Raw genomic sequence first — 19,552 nt, 5'->3', positions numbered from 1 at the left:
GAAAGAGGTGACCTGTGACCTAGCACAGGCTCTACCCACAGCGGGAGCACAATGCATTCTTGACCTTCACAATGCTTTTGACAATGGTTCATTCACCCTCCATCACACTTGTTCCTTTCAGTAGGGCAGATATTGTTAGTCCCATTTTACAGATGGGAAAACAGATTCTAAGAGGTCCATCAGCCTGGTCTGCTTAGTTCTTTGAGGATGAGTATTCATCTCTCTGGCTGTGTCAGCTGAGCTGGACCTGCCGAATTCAATCTTCCCATCACTCAGCTCCCAATGCCATCAGTCAAGTGTTATCAAATTGGTGGAGCTTAAAAATGACAGCCATTTGAAATTGAGTAGAATTTGGTATTATTAAAATAGCATTCTAAATTTTAATCTTGTGCATCGACTTTTTAATAGCTTCTACTTTCACTAAAAATTGTGGGCCATGCTCACAGACATTCAATTTAAATACTGTCAGGCAAGACTGATTTCTCTTCCAACATTGCCAGATTTTTCTTTTTTTTTTCTTTCTTTGCATTCATCTTCTTTTTTTTTTTTAAGCATTGAGTTAATTTTTCACTACTTGGAAATTTCACAGTGTATGAAACCTCAGAAAAAGAACATATCTTTGTGTACAGCTCTTTTATTCTTTGTCTTCTGTTCTGTAGCCTTCTTTCTAGCCTATCTGTTGGTTAGGGCAGGATCCTCTGTGGAAGCTAGGTAATGGTTAATTTTCTGGGACACCTTTTCTCATCACTTCTTCCTTGTCATGATGCCAAACAAGTCTCGTAGTCAATATCAGCACCCTCCCCTGCATGTGTCCTTTCAACACTTAATCTATCTAGCACTTAAAAAAATATCTGGGAGATGCTGGCCATCTATGAAGGAGGTTTCTCCCTTGCTGCTGTGTCCATTACTATTTTTTTCCCAACTTCCCCCTGCATCTGCTGTATGCATTACTATTTTTTCCCAACCTGTCCCTGCATCTTACCTAGTTTTCTTCATCCTCTCATTCCCATCCCAGTTTCTCACCTTGAACCAAGATTGGTGGAGTGGAAATGGAGGGCAAGGTTGATGAAGAGGAGGGACAAGGGGTGATATGAAGTGAGGAGCATGGGTCTTGGAGTCAGACCTGACCGGGCTTGAGTTTCTTCCTTTCCCAGTTGCTAACTGTGTGACCCTGGAAAAGTTGCTTAACCTCCTAGAGCCTTGGTTTTCTCACTTGCAAAATGAGGTTAGTGGTACCTGTCACACAGGGTTATCATATGGATCCAACGAGAAAGGGTACATAAAGTGATGCTGAGTGCTGTGGTTAATGGCATCATAGCCAACTGGCCACTCTTTCCTCTCCTCCACTCTGCAATTTCTGCACCCCAGCCCAGCAGTTCTCAGGTCTAGTTACACATTAGAATCACCTAGGAGCCTTTAAAAAAGGTGCAAACATCCCTAGGCCTCACTCTAGACCAATTAAATCAGAATCTGGGAGTGTATACTTGTGGCATCTTTACTTTTAAAATTTTCTCTAGGTGAGTCTGATGGATGCTAGGGTTGAGAACAACTCTAAGTCCCCAGGGTTGCCTAAAGTCCAAAAACACTTTTCTTTTAAGATCAGAGGAATCTTATTTTAGTGCTTGTGGGCAGATCTCTCATTAGTGATGGAATGGGATTTAACCTTCCTTGGCTGTGCCTAGGAGAAAGAGAAGAAGAGGCAGTGTGGAACAGGGACTCTCAGTGGGTAAGCCCAAGGTTTCCCTTTGTTTTCATCTTGGGACACCTATTTACCCCTGCAACTATACCGCTTGTGCTTCCATAAGGATGAGGACGGGAGGAGGAGGAAGATGGGGAAGGAAAGAGCAGGAAAAGGAGGGAAGGGGAGAGGCTTTTCTCATGGGACCTTCTCCACACTCCTGTGCCTGCTGAGATGTGTCCCCTCCTCTGTACTCTGAAAATCCTTTAGTCTAACCCTGAGGGTCCAATATGTGGCCAGTAGCCACATATGGCTGTTAGACACTTGAATATGGCTAGCCTGAATTGAGATGTGCTGTGTCATACATGTTCCAAAACTAAGTAAGAAAAATAATCTCATTAATAAAACTTTAAAAATATTGGATACATGTTGAAATTATAATATATTACATATATTGGGTTATGCAAAATAGTATCAAAATTAACTTTACTTGTTTATTTTTCATTTTTTAATATGAGTAATAGACAAATTTAAATTAGCTATATAGCTCTCATTATTATATTTCTGTCAGACAGAACTGGTTCAACCCGTTGTTTGACACTGAGTGTATGTTTCATGTGTAAATATGTCTCAACGCTTGCATTAGATGGGCAGTTTGAGAACAGAGACCTCAGCATCCCATTCATTTTCTGGCCCCCAAACACCTATTTTCAAAATGCCTTGTACTCAGCAGGCAGTTGGTAAATGTTTTCTGTAATTGTGAATGATAACAGTGATGGTAGTGATGATTGTGGTAATGAAGAAGATGATGTAATAAAGCTCAAATGGTATGTTGGGGCCAAATTACAAAGATTTTTGTAAGAAAACAGTGCAAGGTGGAATGGTTACATTTTTAAGACCAAGCGCCCTCAAATACACCTTAATTTTTGATTAATTTACATATATAAAGACCCTTGATACACAGAACAAAAACATCTTCCATCATTTCTGTTTAGAGATAGAGTGATTCTTAAAGAGTCTTACAATGAACTCCCCCACAAAATGCTCAGTGAACTCTTGCTAGGGACCAGTTCTAGGTGGTGGGAGTAGAGCGGTGAGCGAATGAGATAAAAATCCATGCCCTTTGGACTTTACACAGCATGTGAAAATAAACACATTTCCAAGTAAAGTGCTTACATGTCCGATAGTATAATAAGCAGCCTGGTGGAAAATCAAACAAGGCAAAGGAAAGGAGGTGTGGTTGGGGCAGGCAGGGGGCATGTGAAGAAGGTGAACAAATCTATGTGGGCTTACTTGATCTTATTGTTTCAATAATTCAGCTAATATGTTTCTTTATTCATTTATTCACTCAACAATTGCATATACTGAAATCCTATTATGTCATTCAAGCCATGGTGAGACAAGGAAGTGGGTTTCACCTCCCAAGGAGCGCACAGCTTACTCTCAGAAGCAGGAAAACGTGCCAATTACCCATCACACTCACATCGTTTCTAAAGTAGATCCTCAATTAGGCAACACTTCAGCAGCTGCGGAGTCACTCCGTAGTAGTCTGAGGCAACACAAGTGCATCTCATCTGAAATATCCTCTAATGCAGGATATACTGGAGCTGTTGCCTAGGGAGATACTGCTCAAGGAATATGGGTTCCACAAGCAAATGCTATGAAGTTCTAGTTATTATTTTGAGCCCAGAATGAGTTGAGGCCTAAAAATGTTGCCATTCCATTAAAATGTGTTAGTTTGAATTTAGGCACAAATGTTATTTTTGAATTATAAGCATGCGACTCGTTTATAGTAATGTAGCTTTGAGAGGACTTTGGGTTATTTGCCAGGCCATTCTTTTTCCTTTTCTTTTCTTTTCTTCTCTTTTCTTTTCTTCTCTTTCTTTTCTTTTCTTTTCTTTTCTTTCTTTCTTTCTTTCTCTCTTTCTTTCTTTTTTCTTTTTTTTTTTTTTGGTAGACATGGGTCTCTCTATGTTGCACAGGCTGGTCTCAAACTCCTGGGTTCAATCCTCCCAAAGTACTGGACTTACAGGCATGTGCCAGGCCATTCTTGATATAAGCTGTTTCTCACCCATTTGGTCCAAAAATAGAGGAGACAATAGGCCCTCTGTCCAGGGCAATCCAAGGTATAGGACTCACATCCTGCTCTATGCCATCTATACCATTGCTATTTGCCTTCTCGAATGGGCTGGCAGAACCGAGACCTTCCTTGACCAGATGAGGCCATTCTGGAGCTCCAAGCAGGAAGCAGAATGAAAACATGTGTTTGTTTTACTAAATAGCTGTTGCATGTGTTGGATGTAAGAGTCCCCCTTGCTTAAAGAGAAAATAACCTAAGAACTTGCTCTTCGTGCATTTCACCTTTAGAACTAGAAAAGCTGTCTAATTAGATTAACACACAGGTGCATGTATGTGTGTGTTAGAGTATAGATACTGCTAAATAAGCCCAGTGTTTCTCTGCATTTGTCTGAATTTTGGAAAATGGGATGAGGCTGATTAAGTGGCTTTCATCTGAGAGCTGTGTACTTCTGTGGTTCTGTTTTTCTCCTTTGAATCCCTATCCTATCTCATTTGGCCTCCTTGCTGTGATCCCATGGATGTGTTCAAGTGTACTGCTAGTTCCCTACCACTGCAAAACCCTCCTAGCTCTGCCTGGTGACCCCATAAATCCCCAGTGTTCCATGCCTGGTGCTCTGGGGAGGGAAGCAGATGGCAGGGCTGTCCATTCTGCCACCCAGTGAGGCAGGAGGTCAACTAGGGTAACAGCAGCAGGTGGGGAGGTGGGGTTTCTGGTCTGTGCATGCAGGGGACAACAGATCATCAATGATCCATGGGCAGAACAGCCCTCATGGAACTAACACTGCTGGCAGAAGGTGGCAGCAGCTGGAGGCTGCTTCAGCTCTTGATCAAGCACAGAATAATGTTGGGTGGGTGGCTGAGAGTTGCTGCATTTATGAATTGTCACTCAGTGGCAGCACTGAGGTCCCCAAGCTCTGTTTACAAATGGATTTTTTGCTCAAATGTTTCCTTAACTCAGAGCAACTCTCTCTCCTTTTTTTCCCTCTCATCCCCTGGCCAACTCCTGTGCACGCTTTAGGTCTCAGCTTTGGGCCCCAAATTCAGGAAACATGTTCCTCCTCTGTGTTCCCTTACCCCTGCGTACTCAGCCTATCGTACTGTAAATGCTATGTAATCTGTCTCCCACAATGGGCTGTGCCCTCGTAACAACAGGGGTTGTGTCTTGTTCCTCATTGCATTTTCATGGCCTCAAAATGTATATCTAGTGCTGTCAATATTTGTAGACTTGAGTGGATCTCATCTATGTGCATGGTCTAATTTCATTAATTATAGACAAAAAGGAAGTAGCAGCTTGGGTAACCAAACAAGCAGATAATCCCCAATGTATTTCTTTAAGGCTTTGCAGTGCTCCCCAGGGCAATTTGGGACAGGGGACAGGTTACCTATTTTATATATATATACATATATTAGAGATGAGGTCTGGCTCTGTTGCCCAGGCTGGAGTATAGAGGTGCAATCATAGCTCCCTGCAGCCTCGACCTCCCGGACTCAAGGGATCTTCACATCTCAGCATCCCAAGCAGCTGGAACCACAGGCATGCACCACCATACCCAGCTGATTTTTTTTTTTTTTTTAAAGGTTTTGTAGAGACAGGCCCATGCTGGTCTTGAACTCCTGGGCTCAAGTGATCTTCCTGCCTTGGCCTTCCAAAGTTCTGGGATTACAGGTGTGAGCCACTGTGCCTGGCCCATTGTCATATTTATTAAGTAAATATGAGGACTTAAGTGGTATTTGAATATTGATATTTATAAAATACCCTCCACTGCCTTCCTCTTCAGCATCATTTCATCCTTACTGGCTCTACCTACTCAAAACAGGAATGGTTGTTTATGGAAGTGGATATGTTTAATGGAAATTCATATGTTTCACTGACCCATGGTTGCCATCATGCCATATATCATAAAGCACTTTTGTATAAATTAAATATAAGGATAAGCAAGTTATTGCTCAGATTAGATACTGTATTCCTCATGCTCAGACCTGCTGCCAGTGTCAGAGGCCTGAGAGTATGCCAGCTGGGGTGGGTCAGGCCAGCGTGGGATTTAAAAGTTCTCTAGATAAGCCACATGTGATGATTGAGCTCTCTCTCTGCTGTTCAGGCATGTGGCTGGCAGGTACATGGGGGGCAGGGAGAAAGACACTGGACTTAGACTGGAGCCAGTGTGTTTTATGGCCTCCTTAGTTTAGATTCCGTGTGGCTCTGTACGTTGGAGAGGGAATGGGGCTCCCCTAACCATAGTAATAATAACAATAGGACCCTCCTATTTAATCCCATCTCTGTGCCAAACACTTGGCTCAGTGCTCTCCCACATTATTGCATGCCCCAGCATCCTGAATGGAAAATACTATTTTCATTTTACATGTGAGGAAACTGAGTCCTCACAGGTTAAGTGACTTTATTGAGGTCATATAGGTAATAAGTGTTAAGATTCAAGTTCTCCCTTGAACTTGAGTTCTCCCTGGCTGCTTTTCCCACTAAACTTTGCTGCCTGAAGAGCCATCCTGGGCTGTTCTGATTTTGCCATTCACTGATAGCTGTGTGAATTTTAGCAAGTCATGTCAATCTCTAGGCCTCAGCTACCTTTCTGTATAATCGGGAGATCACTAACCGCCTGCTTTGGAGGGATGTTAAGAAGATTGAAGGAACCAAGGTGCATAGCAGTATTTACGAAATTATTGTGAGTTCCAGATAAGGAGGGGTCATTGCCATTGTTTGTATTTCATCCTGACTCCTGGAGGCTTTAGGTTGTGGGCTGGGAACACTGAACTAATATTGAACATTCTTCCAAGGAGCAAGGCAATGGAGATACTAACCTTGGTGATCTGCACAGCTTGTGTGAGCCCCGTGGGCTCCTCTAAAATTGACAGAATGATGAGGAAGTGAGTAGGAGTGGCCCCAAGCATGGCTGGGTAAGGGAGTGGAGAGTGGCTCTGTTGTGATGTGGACTGAGGGTGTATAAGCTCTCTGCAGCTTTTTGGGAATTGTGGCCATTATGTTTTTACTATCTCCCATTGTAAGAAATTTCTGAATTCTTTTTATGGTGAACTCAGTGGGTGGGTGGGTGAGTGAACAAACTTTCTTCAGATCTTACGTGATATGTCCACAGTTTTCTCAGGCAGAGGATAGAAGGGGTTAGATATTAGAAACAGTACAAAGAAAGGGCACCTGTGCAAACCAATATGTGGTTACGTCTAATTTGGAACAACAACAATAATAATAACAATAAAACTAATTATAATATTAACATTTATCCTTACTGGGGTTGTACAATGTGGCAAGCACTTTTTAAGCTATTCGGGTGCATTATCTCATTTAATTTTTATAATAACCTTATGAACTAAGTATTATTTTTGTTATCATTTTTATAGATGAATAAACTGAGGGACAAAGAGGTGAAGCAATTTGCCCAAGGTCTTATCCTGATTAGTGATGGATTTAGGACTGGAATCAGAGGTTAGGATTGAAATCTCAGAGCCTTGCTCCTACTAAATATTTTCTGTCATGTCTTTGCAATAAATGAGGGAATAGAAGAATTAAATTATTTTCAGGATAGGACATTCGTGTTGTTCAATTTCTTATTATCCAGACCAACAGAGGGGAGGTGTTTTAGTTCATTTGAGCTGCTGTAACAAAAATACCTAGACTGTGTGGTTGACACAAAAACACTTTTTACAGTTCTGAAAACTGGGCAATCCAAGATCAAGGTGCTAACTGATGCCATGCCTGGTGATGGCCTGCTTTCTGGTTCATAGATGGCAGTCCTCTGACTGTGTCCTCACCTGGCAGAAGAAACAAGAGGGCCCTCTGGAATCTCTTTTTTAAAGACAGTAGTCTCATTCATGAGAGATCCTTCTCATGACCTAGTTAGCTTCCAAAGGCTTTGCCTCCTAATATCACATTGGATGACAGGATTTCAATATATGGATTTTGAGGGGACAAAACATTCAGACCATAGCAGTAGCCAAAGACCACACAAGTGATTTGTGTTATTTCTGGTATGCATTATGAAGGGTTTTTTGATGATTTTAGAGTCAGGGTATAAGAGGTGGGGAAGCCCAATGACTAAAAATATAGATATATATTGACCGGGCGCAGTGGCTCACACCTGTAATTCCAGCACTTTGGGAGGCCGAGGCAGGGGGATCACAAGGTCAGGAGATCGAGACCATCCTGGTTAACATGGTGAAACCCTGTCCATACTAAAAATACAAAAAATTAGCCGGGCATGGTGGCAGGCGCCTGTAGTCCCAGCTACTCGGGAGGCTGAGGCAGGAGAATGGCATGAACTGAGGAGGTGAAGCTTGCAGTGAGCCGAGATCATGCCACTGCACTCCAGCCTGGGTGACAGTGCAAGACTCCATCTTAAAAAAACAAAATAAAACAAAAACAAAAACAAAAAATATAGATATATATTTATTCTCAATAATTTTGTTTATTTGAACTTGATGTCGAAGAGTCTTTCTGTTTTCTCCTTGGAAATGTCTCAGAAGTCATGACCTCCCATATATGTTTTCTTCTGTTATCTTTTGTTGATACCATTTGCATCAGAAGAGGTCTTCAACTATTTGCAAAAGGGAAAAAGAAAAGTCATGACCACCCGTCAGTCTTTGTCCACTTGTCTCTTTCAGGACCACGGACAGGGGCCAAGGTGTCTGAGTAGACAAACATTTTAGTTAAGCTACGCCTGTGTTCTTGGCTCAGGTTATCTTCTTTGAGGCCTTTTTTCTGACTTTTATAGGATGTCACACTAGCACTGCCTGAGCACACACCTGCTGACATCAGAGTGGATGATGCTTTAAACATTTTCCAAGGATAATCTGCGGATGGGTAACTGGTCCTGTGGCCTCGTTGGGACTTGACAGTACTGGCCCTCTGACTTGCAGTTTGACCTGCCTGCCTGAGATTTTAGTGTGGTTGGTGCCAAGATTTAAAGGAAGTGATAAGCACTTACTTGTTCTTCAGCATCATTAAATGATAATGATAACATGGGTGATGACAATTACATATTTATTGAGTGCTTACTGTGCGCCAAGTACTGTTTTGCATGTATTGTTTTGTTTAATTCCCAACAACAAATCTTGGGGATATGAATAGTTTTAGATGAAGAAAATGAGACACAGACAGATATTTAAAATGTGCAAGACAACCCAGTTATGTCATAAACAGTGGAGCAGAGTCCCACTTTACCTTGAGGTCACGTTGTGTGCACTCCCACAAGGTCCTCAGGGTGGAAAGGGAGGGGCTGACCTCTTCAGAGTGCCTATTTGTGTGCTTTGTGAATATTATTATACTCAAAGCCTATTTCCTGGGGTTGTGTTGACATAAAAATCCCCACTTTATAGTAGAGGAAACTGAGAGAGCATTTAAGTGGCTTACCTAAGATCGCACAGACTATACATAGAGAAGCCAGGTTTGTCTGTCTTGAAACTTTTTTTTTTTGCAGTGGGCTATTTACTATTTATTTCCCAGATGGCTCTTTACACCATTGTGGGCAGTCCTACCTTACAGTGGGGTCTGGTTTCTCACCTTATAGGAGGATGTGGTTGATACTTGATAAGATTTGATACTGGTCAGGCGAGGTGGCTCACACCTGTAATCCTAGCACTTTGAGAGGCTGAGGCAGGCAGATCACCTGAGGTCAAGAGTTCGAGACCAGCCTGGCTAATATGGTGAAACCCCATCTCTACTAAAAATATAAAACATTAGCAGGATGTGATGGTGGGCACCTGTAATCTCAGCTACCTAGGAGGCTGAGGTAGGAGAATCGCTTGAACCCAGGAGGCAGAGGTTGCAGTGAGCTGAGATTGCACCACTGCATTCCAGCCTGGGTGTGACAGAGCGAGACTCCATCTCAAACAACAACAACAACAATAACAACAAAAACAGCAGCAAAGATATGGTGCTCAGTCTCCTCTTCTGCTTGGGATTCAAGCTTGTCTAGACAAGAAGGTGGTGAAGCTCTTGATGACAGGGATGGCGGGTGAACTTGTCTTAGGTGTGCAAGTGTGGACCCAGAAGCAAAAATGGGTATGCTGTGCAGAAGGGTTAATAATCACCCCCAGTCTGGATCATTTTGCTGTAACATCTGCTGCTAACCCACTGCTAGGAGGGGGAATGCCAATTGTAGTGCTGCTGGAGTAGATTTTAAAACAGAAAACATTTGTGTGTTGAAGTGAGGACTGGCGTTCTGTTGGTTGGATGACATAAGTCCCAATTTCTTCCATTTCCCCATGGTGTGCTTGCATTTTGGGGCCCAGGTATACTGGGGAGGGATGACCCATATGGATGGAGTGTAGGCTCACTTTGGTGTGGACTAGTCTCACTAATAACCACGTAATTATCATTGCTAGAAAGGACTACAGATCATTCTGGAAAACTCTGGAAAACTCATTTATTTATAGCTAAGGAAGCTGAGGCCCAAAGTGGAAAAACAGGACTGAAAGTCTGCATTTGACTTTGAATCCAATGCTCTTTCCCTGGTAACGTGATTAATACCAATAACATGAAAATATTATCAATAGCATTAATATGGTCAGTAAAGCTTCCACCAGAAATAAGCATTGGGCCATATGTTTTGAAGTTTGTCAAGACCACTATAAGCAGTGGCCCTTTCCCTCAAAGAAGGAATTGACATTCTGGGTCTTGCAATATAAAACAGAGATATCATCATCATTATCACTGTCACCACCACCACCACCACCACCACGCTCGTCCTCACCATCAGACAAATCTATTTTCAGCACTTACTGTGTGCCAGATTCTGTGCTATGTGCTTTATTTATATTGCATCATAATTTAAAATTTATGGCAAATCTATTGTGAACCATCCTTGTAGATGAGGTTCAGAGGTGTAAAGTAACTATTACAAAGCCTACCGTTATGAAGTTCCACGTGGGGGATGCAGTTAGAGAAGACAAAACAGTGTAGAGGCTTCATGGTGGTGAGACTTGTGGGGGAACCTGAGCTAAGCTCCAGAGAGTGATTAGGACAGAGAAAACAGATGAGATGAGGAAGACAGTCCTGTCAGGAGCAATCTGAAGGATTTTTGCAGTGAGGGAAGTTGTGGGTTAGACTCAGGGACAATTTGTAGAGAGGTCTGAGTAAGGAATGAATGGCTTCCAATCACTACTGAGCACATTTCCTGTTCCATACCCCATGTAAGGCACAGGGTGTGCAGAGGTAAGAGGCATGGTTCCTGTCCTTAGAAATGGGGGGGAAGAAACCAAAACAGTCAACCCCCATCCTGGATAATAAGGGTTGGGCAAAGGGTAAACTCAAAGGACCATGTGAGTTCAGAGGAATGGGGTCAAACTCATTCCTCAGTGGCTTGCTAAGGGTTTGGCTTTACATTAAAAGCCAGAGGGAGCTACAGAAGTATTCTGAGTTAAGGAGTGACCTGGCCAGATCATCTAACTGGGGAGACTCTGCAGATACTGTGGAGAATGGTATGGCGACAAGGAGACCTGTTGGGGCAGCAGAGGCAAGCACAGCAAAGCCCCCCAGCAACAACAGTGTCAATGTCAATGCAGAGATAAGGCAGAAAGAAGCGATCATGAGAAGTTAGAATGGATAGGGACTTGGTGGAGGGAGGAATGGGGATGGGCCCAGTGGGCATCCATGGGAAATGCATTTGGAGCCTGTTGGTAACTGGCCTTGAAGGTCATCCTCCCTCCTTGCCTACCTGTTCTTGGCTTGTGAGTAAGTACACGGAGAACATGTGTTAGTGCCATCCCCTGGCTTAGTCAGCTACCCAAGCTGTAGCCCAAAGCCCAGAGCTCCCCAAAGTCAGAGCTTGAGGCTGTCCCAGGATATCACTCCATGCAAAGGCTGATTCCACTTTGCGGTTGGACTGGTTGTGTTTGCATTTACTGTGCCAGCCACACCTGCTCTCCTCGACGCCCAGTGCTGAGCCTAGGTGGCTGGTGAAGGGCAGACTTCCAGGAGCCTGGACTCACTGTGGCAGGGAAGGAGGGGAGAGGCACAGCTGGTGCCAAGAGGATATTAACCTGACATTTAGCAAAAGGGTGAATCTGTTTATTGTTCTGTAACAATGAGGCATTTGCATCCTGAGTCGCCTTCTGTTTTCCTATTGTCTTTGCTCCTCAGTGGTCAGGCCAGGCTGCAGTCTTGACAGTTTAAATCAGCATGGTAATGAAGGGGTGGCACCTAGTCAGTTCAAAATAAAAAATCAATCTCACTCTCTTTCTCTGACACACACACACACACACACACACACACACACACACACACAGAGAGAGAGAGAGAGAGAGAGAGAGAGAGAGTCTAGAGCTATACTGAGTGTCCAGAAGTTCCTCTCTCCAGCTCCTTCCTTGATACTCTTAAAATTGTAGTATCCCAACCCAGATAACTTGGAGGTTTGGAAAGGGGACCCCTGTATTCCTTCTGTTGCCTCCACCATAGCCTGGCTTTCCAGCTACCAACAGAACCCACTTGTAGGCAAGAAGAAGCATGAATTGAAGTCCTGATGCATGCATCTAGGAATGCTGAGAACGTGACAGAAAAGCTCTTACACAAGCTGGGCATGGTGGCACCCAGCTACTCTGGAGGCTAAGGTTGGAGAATTATGGGAGTTTGAGTCCAGTCTGGGCAGCATAGTGATACCCTGTCTCTATACAGAAGAAAAAAATCAGACATTCAGGTTGAAAATTTAAAAAAATATTCTCTATAGCTTCATAAATATTTTAGCATTGACAGGGCTTGTGTGCTTTTATCATCTCACAGTGGTATAGTAAGCTGGGTGGGAGAGGTGTCATGCTAGGTGAAGAAGCTAAGACCTAGGCTCTTGGATGTTTATAATGTACCAGGCTTGGTACTGGGTACTTTAATGGCATGACATCATGTAATTCTCACTAGGATACAATGGGACAGGTCTGGTTTTCCCATTTTACAGGACACTGGAAAAGTTTAAGAATGTTTTCAGCTGGGAATTGGCAGAGCTGGGAAGGAAGCCATATCTACCTGACCCTGGAGTGGCCACTCCACTACTGTGGGTTGCATGGACAGGTCTGGAGAGTGGGCACAGTGTTCAGTTGGTGCCATGCTGTCTGCTCTCCATCTACTCCAGTAGCCCACAGTGGCTTGCAATGAAGCCAGATGTTCTGGAGAAGGAGGAAACACTCTTTTGCTTCTGTGCCCATCCTTACCACCAGAATCCCCACAGAAGATATAACTTCTTACCCTCTTCTTTTTCCCAAATTAGATCTGGTAAGTCAGCATCTGCATACCGACCTCAGGATCATTTAGAAGCTCACAGAATGTTCTGTCTAGAAATTGCCTCCAGGCAGGATTTACCTATGACAGCCTTGGCCAGTGGATGGTTCTATATCTTTATGCCCAGTTCAAACTCTGGAACACTGTCATCCCTGAATCCCTCCCCATCTCCCAGGTCCCTCCCTCTATGGCAGGAAAAAGATCCAACAGGCCTGACATGGAACTTGACTGCTAGGGTTTATAGTGATACAGGAGGCAGGAGAGAGAAGTAGAAAATGCATATAAATACATCTCATATACAATGTAACTTATCTTCAGTTACTAAATTAGCACTCTTTGCTCTCCCTAACTATATGCACATTGATATCACTCCTCTTGCAGCTCAATAGGTATGTGGTGAACCTCTTGCCATAAAATTATGCTCCTGCAAAGTGATGGGCCTGAGCACAGTTGGGATGGGGACAGAGGAAATCTCACAGGTCCAAAGCTAAGTCCTGCTCCTTCAGACTCTCAACTGGGTTCCCAAGCTGGCATGGATAGAAAGGGCACAGTTTACCATTGGTAAAGGCTTTACTCTTTAGAATTTGCCCCCCACTTCAAACTCACTCTTCCATGCCTGTAAATATTCTTCCATGGACTTCCACTTGTCACTAAAGGAAAGATTCAACTCTTGAGTCTTGGTGTACAAATGAGGGGACCTATTGCTTCTTTAATGTACCAGTCTGTCCTCAACATGGAGACCAGTTTCATCTCCTTTGCCTTCCATCAGATGTGGATGGGAGCCCTGTATTCTGCTGAGCTAATAGAATGCCTGTGTCCCTACTGGAAGGTGACAGGGAAGTATGCATCCAGCAATCTATGGGAATATCAAGGCCACATTCCCTTTTTTAAAATGAGGATGGCAGTGTGTTAGAATAGAAAGAGTTGACATGAGGAACAGCTGTGAGGTTATGAATTCTGATCTTGGTTTGGTCCCAGTCAATTACGTGGTCTTAGTTCCCATTTAAATGCTGAATAAGTCAATCCTCAGGGGTAAATTCTTTCAAAATGCTCATAAATTGTGAAATCCTAGTGTTGGTGGGGACCTTGGATATTCCTTTAGTGCAATGACTGCAAAATATGACTGTGCATTGGATTGCCCAGGGATGCTTGCTAATATGTCAATAGCCAGGCTCTAGCATAGAGTATTTAGGCTCCAGCATGGGTATTTTTTTTTTAACAGTCGGTCCTCCTTCCAGTGTTTGGGAACAATGATCTGGTTTATCTGCCAGCTCCCAGGTAGAGGAAAATTTGCAATGAAATCTTCCCAGCATGGCTACTCTTAGCCAGTCCTTACTCCCTTCCCCTCATTGACAACTTTCATTCTGTTTCTAAGGAGTAGGGCTCTTACCAAAATGTCAATGTGACCCACCTCCAGTCCACTCTTTTCTTCGCAGAGCGTAAGAACTAGTTCTGTCTGGCACTCCTGGAATAGTCATAGGACAGAGAAAAGAGAGGAAACTTTTGAGTTCTGATAAACACATCTGCAGCACACATCTTGTGAGTTGCTCAGTGTTCTGTATCCTCTTGTCTTTTCTGGTGAGGATTTGATGATGAAGTTGGAGCATGGTCTTCAAGGGCTGAAATCCAAGAGTTTCTAAGTAGAGTAACAACATCATGAAGTCTCTTAACATCACTATGAGATAACCCGTGTAAAGAGAGATTTAATAACCATCAAATACTTGTGGACTCTCCCATGCTTCCAAGGCCCCTTGTTGTTGAGTGGATTGTGCACAGAAATAATATATGTCCCTCCTAGTCCGAGTCAGTAAAATGCCTCTACCTGCTTCTCCATGCTCTCCCTTGGCCTTTCATGGTGATTGCAGAGGCCATGCATTGAGATTGTAGACCACAAGATACAATCAGCTTGAATCCCTGAGTCATCTCTTTAAAGGAAGCTGTGTTGGAGAGTCACCAGACCCAAAGTGACTTTTCCTGAGTGAGAAGTAAATGTTTAAGTGTTATGCCTTTGGAATTTTAGGTTTTAGTTGTTACTGCAGCATAACCTTGTCTATCCTGATTAATGCAGTTGGTATCATCCTGAAGCGTACTCCCTTGTGGATAAAGCTTCTAGTTCTTGGCGTGTTTGGGTTGCTTTTCCTCCTAAAAACTGAATGGAACTAGAACTTTCTAGGAACCCTTTCAAGCTGCAGTAATGATTTACTGAAGCAGAAAGAACATGGTTATTTTGAGTCTCAGAAGAAAAACACAAAACAAAACAAATCTAGGACTGTTGTCTTTCCCCAAGAAAGGAATTAAAAATAGACTCATATGGACAGGGGAAAAAAAAACCGACACTGCCTGATCTGGTGTGGACATGTTCTTCGAAAGTATTAATTGCACACTCATGCCATTTAAAAATATTAATTTAAATGCACACAGCTTGTAAATCTCTTCTTGTTCTGTCTGCTGGATGACTTGGGACAAAGCAAGCTGAGAATTAATTGATTAATAACAAGCTGTGACCTGTGTGTGTGGTTTTACTGACAATATCCTCAGGACTTGGGCTTCTTGGAGCCATGCTTCTGTCAGTGGGAAAAGTGCTTTCATCTTTAGAGAATGTTACCACTAAGCAGAGTTACCTAATCTGATGCTTTCTCCTCTGGGTATGGCAGAAGTCGCTTACTTGAGAATGGATACTGATATGTTATTTTTGGAGCTGTATTTAGGGGATTTATTTGGCACATGTGGTATATATTATAGAATGGCATGTAGGGTGAAGCCACGGACTCCACAAAGAGCCTTCTGTCCATTATGATCTGTTGCATACTGAAAATTTCCACTCTGAGTAATGCATATCTTTACACTAAACATACATCATTCCCAGAAGTTGTTTGATTAAATATAAACATCTTGCCTAGGGAAGGCAAAATATTAAGCTGCTAGAGTACATTTGGAATTTTCTTAGAAAGGCCCTGAAAGAATAGGATACAAGTCAGACATATTTTGATGGGGGATGTGAATGAGGGAGATGAACCACTGAGGACAGAGTCTTGAATGAGCAGAACATTGTAGTGGAGGAGCCGTCAGCTCAACAGCACAGATTCCTGGAGGTGGACAATGACGTAGGTTCCAGGGATAAAAGATTTGGATTTGTTCAGGACAGGCCGTGAGTGCCTGCCTTGGTGTGTTATAAAGATCCTATGTGGTTGGTTTCTTTAACATTCAACACAGGATTCTCGAATATTTTAGAAATGTGCTTGGGTTTTTTTCTGTAACTCCTAGGCTAGAGTTACATCATATCATATTTAGTTCAATGTGTCTGCTGTTCTCAAGTGTGGTGGTGCTGGCAGGTAACAACGAGGAAGAAGTGAGGCAGGGCTCAAATTGGGGAATACATACCTGTGTGCATCCTGGCCCAGGGAGTGGGCTGAAAGGAGGGCAGGAGTGGACTGGCCTGCTCAGGCTCCCACACCTGTGTGGCAAGAAGGGTTTGACCCAGAGAAGCAGAGCACCGAGAGCCACAGAAGCTCCCTCTTCCTTCTTTGAGTGTGCCTAGGGTCTCAGCCTCAGCTTTGGCACCCAGAGCCACATTCCAATTAGGTTCTTAGGGGAGTAGCCCCTTCCTTCCTTGCAGAGAAACCTGCATGAAAGTTTGGGGGACTTCACTTTCTTCTTGAAGACATCTTATGTCCAAATTAATGCTACTATTTCCTGTGTCTCCACTGTTTTGACACTTACCTTTTTCATGCACTTCCCAGAGCATATTTCTTTTGTGCCAGACACTCTTTCCCCAGAATTCTTTCCCCAGAATTCTTCTCCACCATTTTGTTTAGAAAAAATATGTTGATGAGTCTCATGGAGTAAGGGGTAAGACCTCAAGGAAAATGCTCCACCATCAAAAGATGCCATAACTTTCCATCCACAGAGTGTAGATTGTGTTACCTGGAGAATCTTTTGTTTGGTGAGTGCCCACCTTGGTTTAGTGTGAAAGTCTGACTGTAGGTCAGAGCAAAGCAGAATTGTTCTGCTTCGAAGAGGGCAGTATCAGTCAAGTGAGGCCATGCTCTGCTACAGTAACAGACAGCCCCCACAGTGGCATAACACAAGAAAGGTTTATTTCTTGCTCAATACAGTATATATCAGTCATGAAGGTAGGAGGCCAGTAGGAGGGTGGAGGCTGTTCATCAGAGTCACTCAGCAAACCAGATTGATGGAAACTTCCTCTTGGTCTTTGCTTCCAGCACCGTCTTGGCAGGAGGCAGTGGTGAACTGCTCTGGCTAAGAGCTTCCATCCAGAAGTGTCACGCATCATGTGGCTCATGTTACATTGGCTAGAGCAAACCACTCAGCACTCAGCCACACTTAACTTTAGGAAACTAGAAAGTGCAATCCTACAATTGCCCAGAAAGAGGACGTAATAGGAGTATTTGTGAATATCCTTAATGACATCTACAAGGGGTGAAGACTGCTCTAGTGAAAAGGTGAGGCTTTTGGAGGGCGAGTGAAGGACTTGGGCTTCTTGGAGCCACCTTTCTACCTCAAGGAACTCTGTGGGAAAAGGTCAGGGAAGGAAATCCTTGGTTGTGCTTTGGCCTGGAAGGAACTAAGGCAAACTCAAAATCTGTTAGAGCATTTGCCATGAGATATGTGATTTAAATTCCTTTTCTGCCTTACCTGTGAAATCTTCAACAGTCTGTGTTGTTCCTTTTTGCTTGTATCTGGAGCAATGGCATGGGGTGGTGATGGGGTGGGATGAGGGACAAGAGGGAGAAGCTCAAAAAAGTGTAACCTTCAGGATGAAAGTTATTCAGGGCAAAACAAGATGCTGTATACATGGGCCTAGGCACTGGAGAAGCCAGAGACAGCTGACACCTGAGTTAATGTACCTGTTATTTTTCCTCCTAGCTTATAAATTCCTCAAGGTCAAGGATGGTTTCTTATTTATATGTATGTTCTCCGCAGAGCCCAAAACTACTCTGGCCTCAGTAGGTGCTCAATTGCTTGAGGCATGTTTGTGGGTGAATGAATAAACAAATGCACTTCTGCCTCCTTCTCTTGTGTGCCAAGGCTTGCAGCGGGCCAGCAGCCAGGGGAGGATGTGGGGTGGGCCAGCACTCTCTTTGCTCAGAAAAGCAACTTGCCTAGTTCTGCATCCAATCTTGACTTCTAAGCCAAGGAACGAAGTCTCCAACTGCTCTCAGAGTAGGATACAAAAACCTTCCTCAACTCTTCTCACCTGTGCTTAGGGACATTTGGCCCTTGGTGAATAGGTCCACCAAGATACCAAGAGGTGGACAGCAGCATAGGAGACTAATTTCAACTGTCCTTTCACAAATCTTCTAGGACGTGAGTAGGGACTGACCATCAATTCATTTATTTATCAAACATTGAAAGGGTGCCTACCAGGTGCTTGGTTCTATGTCAAGAGCTGGGGCTGCACCCTTCTGTAAGCTTGCCTATGAGTGCAAGCTGCTTTCATACTAGAAGGTAGGATGATAGGTGAACCGCCTTCTACAAGTGGAGACCCATGGGGCCCTCTGGTTGTGCCTCCACAGTAGAGTCCATGGTGGTGTGAGCCGTAACAAGCACAGTCCATGGCGGCATGAGCTTCAGAATCCAACACACATGGATTCCATCACTGGCTATGCATCTTGAGTCTGATCTTGAGCCTCACGTTTAACCTCTCTAAGCCTCTATTTTCAACTCTGTAAATTGGCGATCACAGTGCTTAATTGATAACTTGTTGTGCAAATGAAAAGTGAAAATGCAGGTAAAATCCTAAGCTCAGTCACATAGAAAGCACTTAGTGTCAGTCAATATTGCAATATGATGATGCCAATATTGTTAATGATAACCTTTCTAAGTTGGAGTGACCTCACCTAAAAATAGTACCTCCATCACTGAGCCTATGGTAATTACACGAGATAGTATGAGACACTTAGCACTTTCTGGGTACAAAACAATAGTGAGTAACATTTACCCAAGACTTTATTTTGTAAATGCCTCTCTTCCATCACTACTGCCTCACTTGGGGCACCTGGGAGTATCCAGGTTGAAGATGCGGGCTCAACCCAGGAGTCAAGCAAACAATTTCTAGTTTTTGGGATGCCTTAAACAAAACCGTGAATCTCTAAGCTCCTCAGGCTGGAAATGGCTCACTGCTGGTGGAATCATTAAGAGTGCCAGCCAGATCTGATTGCTGCATTCAGAGGTTTATTAATATCACCTCGAATTTATCTTCCCTGATGAGGAAATTTTGCCAGCATCTGACAAAAATGAAATGTACAGCGGCCTTGTGCCAACAAGCATCCTCTCCCTGCCATCGGCTGTTAGCAGAAAGCCAGTGCAGTGGGCTGCTATGGGGCTAATAAAAATATAAGATGAAAATGGGCTTCGCATCTTCAATTAGGAATTTGGGCTTCCAACCCTCCTCCTGAGGCTCCCTTCCCCACAACCAGGCTATGATAATAAATTTCAGAACCTCATCTCCCTCTGCGAGTGTGGATTCTCTCCCCAACTAATCCTCCAATACTCATCTGAGCATAACACTCCCGATGAAACCACACTTGTCCCTTCTAAAC

General features: G+C 43.5%; 1 protein-coding gene across 56 annotated transcripts in view, besides 1 other annotated feature; it reads left to right on the top strand.

The window, feature by feature from the left end:
- The window catches only part of KCNMA1 (potassium calcium-activated channel subfamily M alpha 1), a 768,207-nt gene that overhangs the window by 300,828 nt on the left and 447,827 nt on the right, over positions 1 to 19,552 (top strand). The window contains exon 1 of one of the 56 annotated variants that reach the window (XM_047425200.1): positions 17,285 to 17,452. The exons of the other annotated variants lie outside the window; for them this stretch is intronic. Coding sequence (XP_047281156.1) covers positions 17,414 to 17,452 — 39 coding nt within the window. The 5' untranslated portion in view covers positions 17,285 to 17,413. Of the gene's footprint in view, positions 1 to 17,284; positions 17,453 to 19,552 lie in introns of those variants that run through there. 56 annotated transcript variants of the gene reach the window in all.
- Positions 11,569 to 12,111: an enhancer, noted in NCBI's record as "NANOG hESC enhancer chr10:79084628-79085170 (GRCh37/hg19 assembly coordinates)". NCBI's record gives its function as "activates a minimal SCP1, AML or CMV promoter by ChIP-STARR-seq in naive H9 embryonic stem cells {active_cell/tissue: H9 hESC(naive)}" and the evidence as "EXISTENCE:reporter gene assay evidence [ECO:0000049][PMID:30033119]".

This window comes from Homo sapiens, chromosome 10 (genome assembly GCF_000001405.40).
Source record: "Homo sapiens chromosome 10, GRCh38.p14 Primary Assembly".
Taxonomy (NCBI): domain Eukaryota; kingdom Metazoa; phylum Chordata; class Mammalia; order Primates; family Hominidae; genus Homo; species Homo sapiens.
The sequence above is the reverse complement of the archived record's forward strand: the minus strand, read 5'-3'. Positions and strand labels throughout refer to the sequence as shown.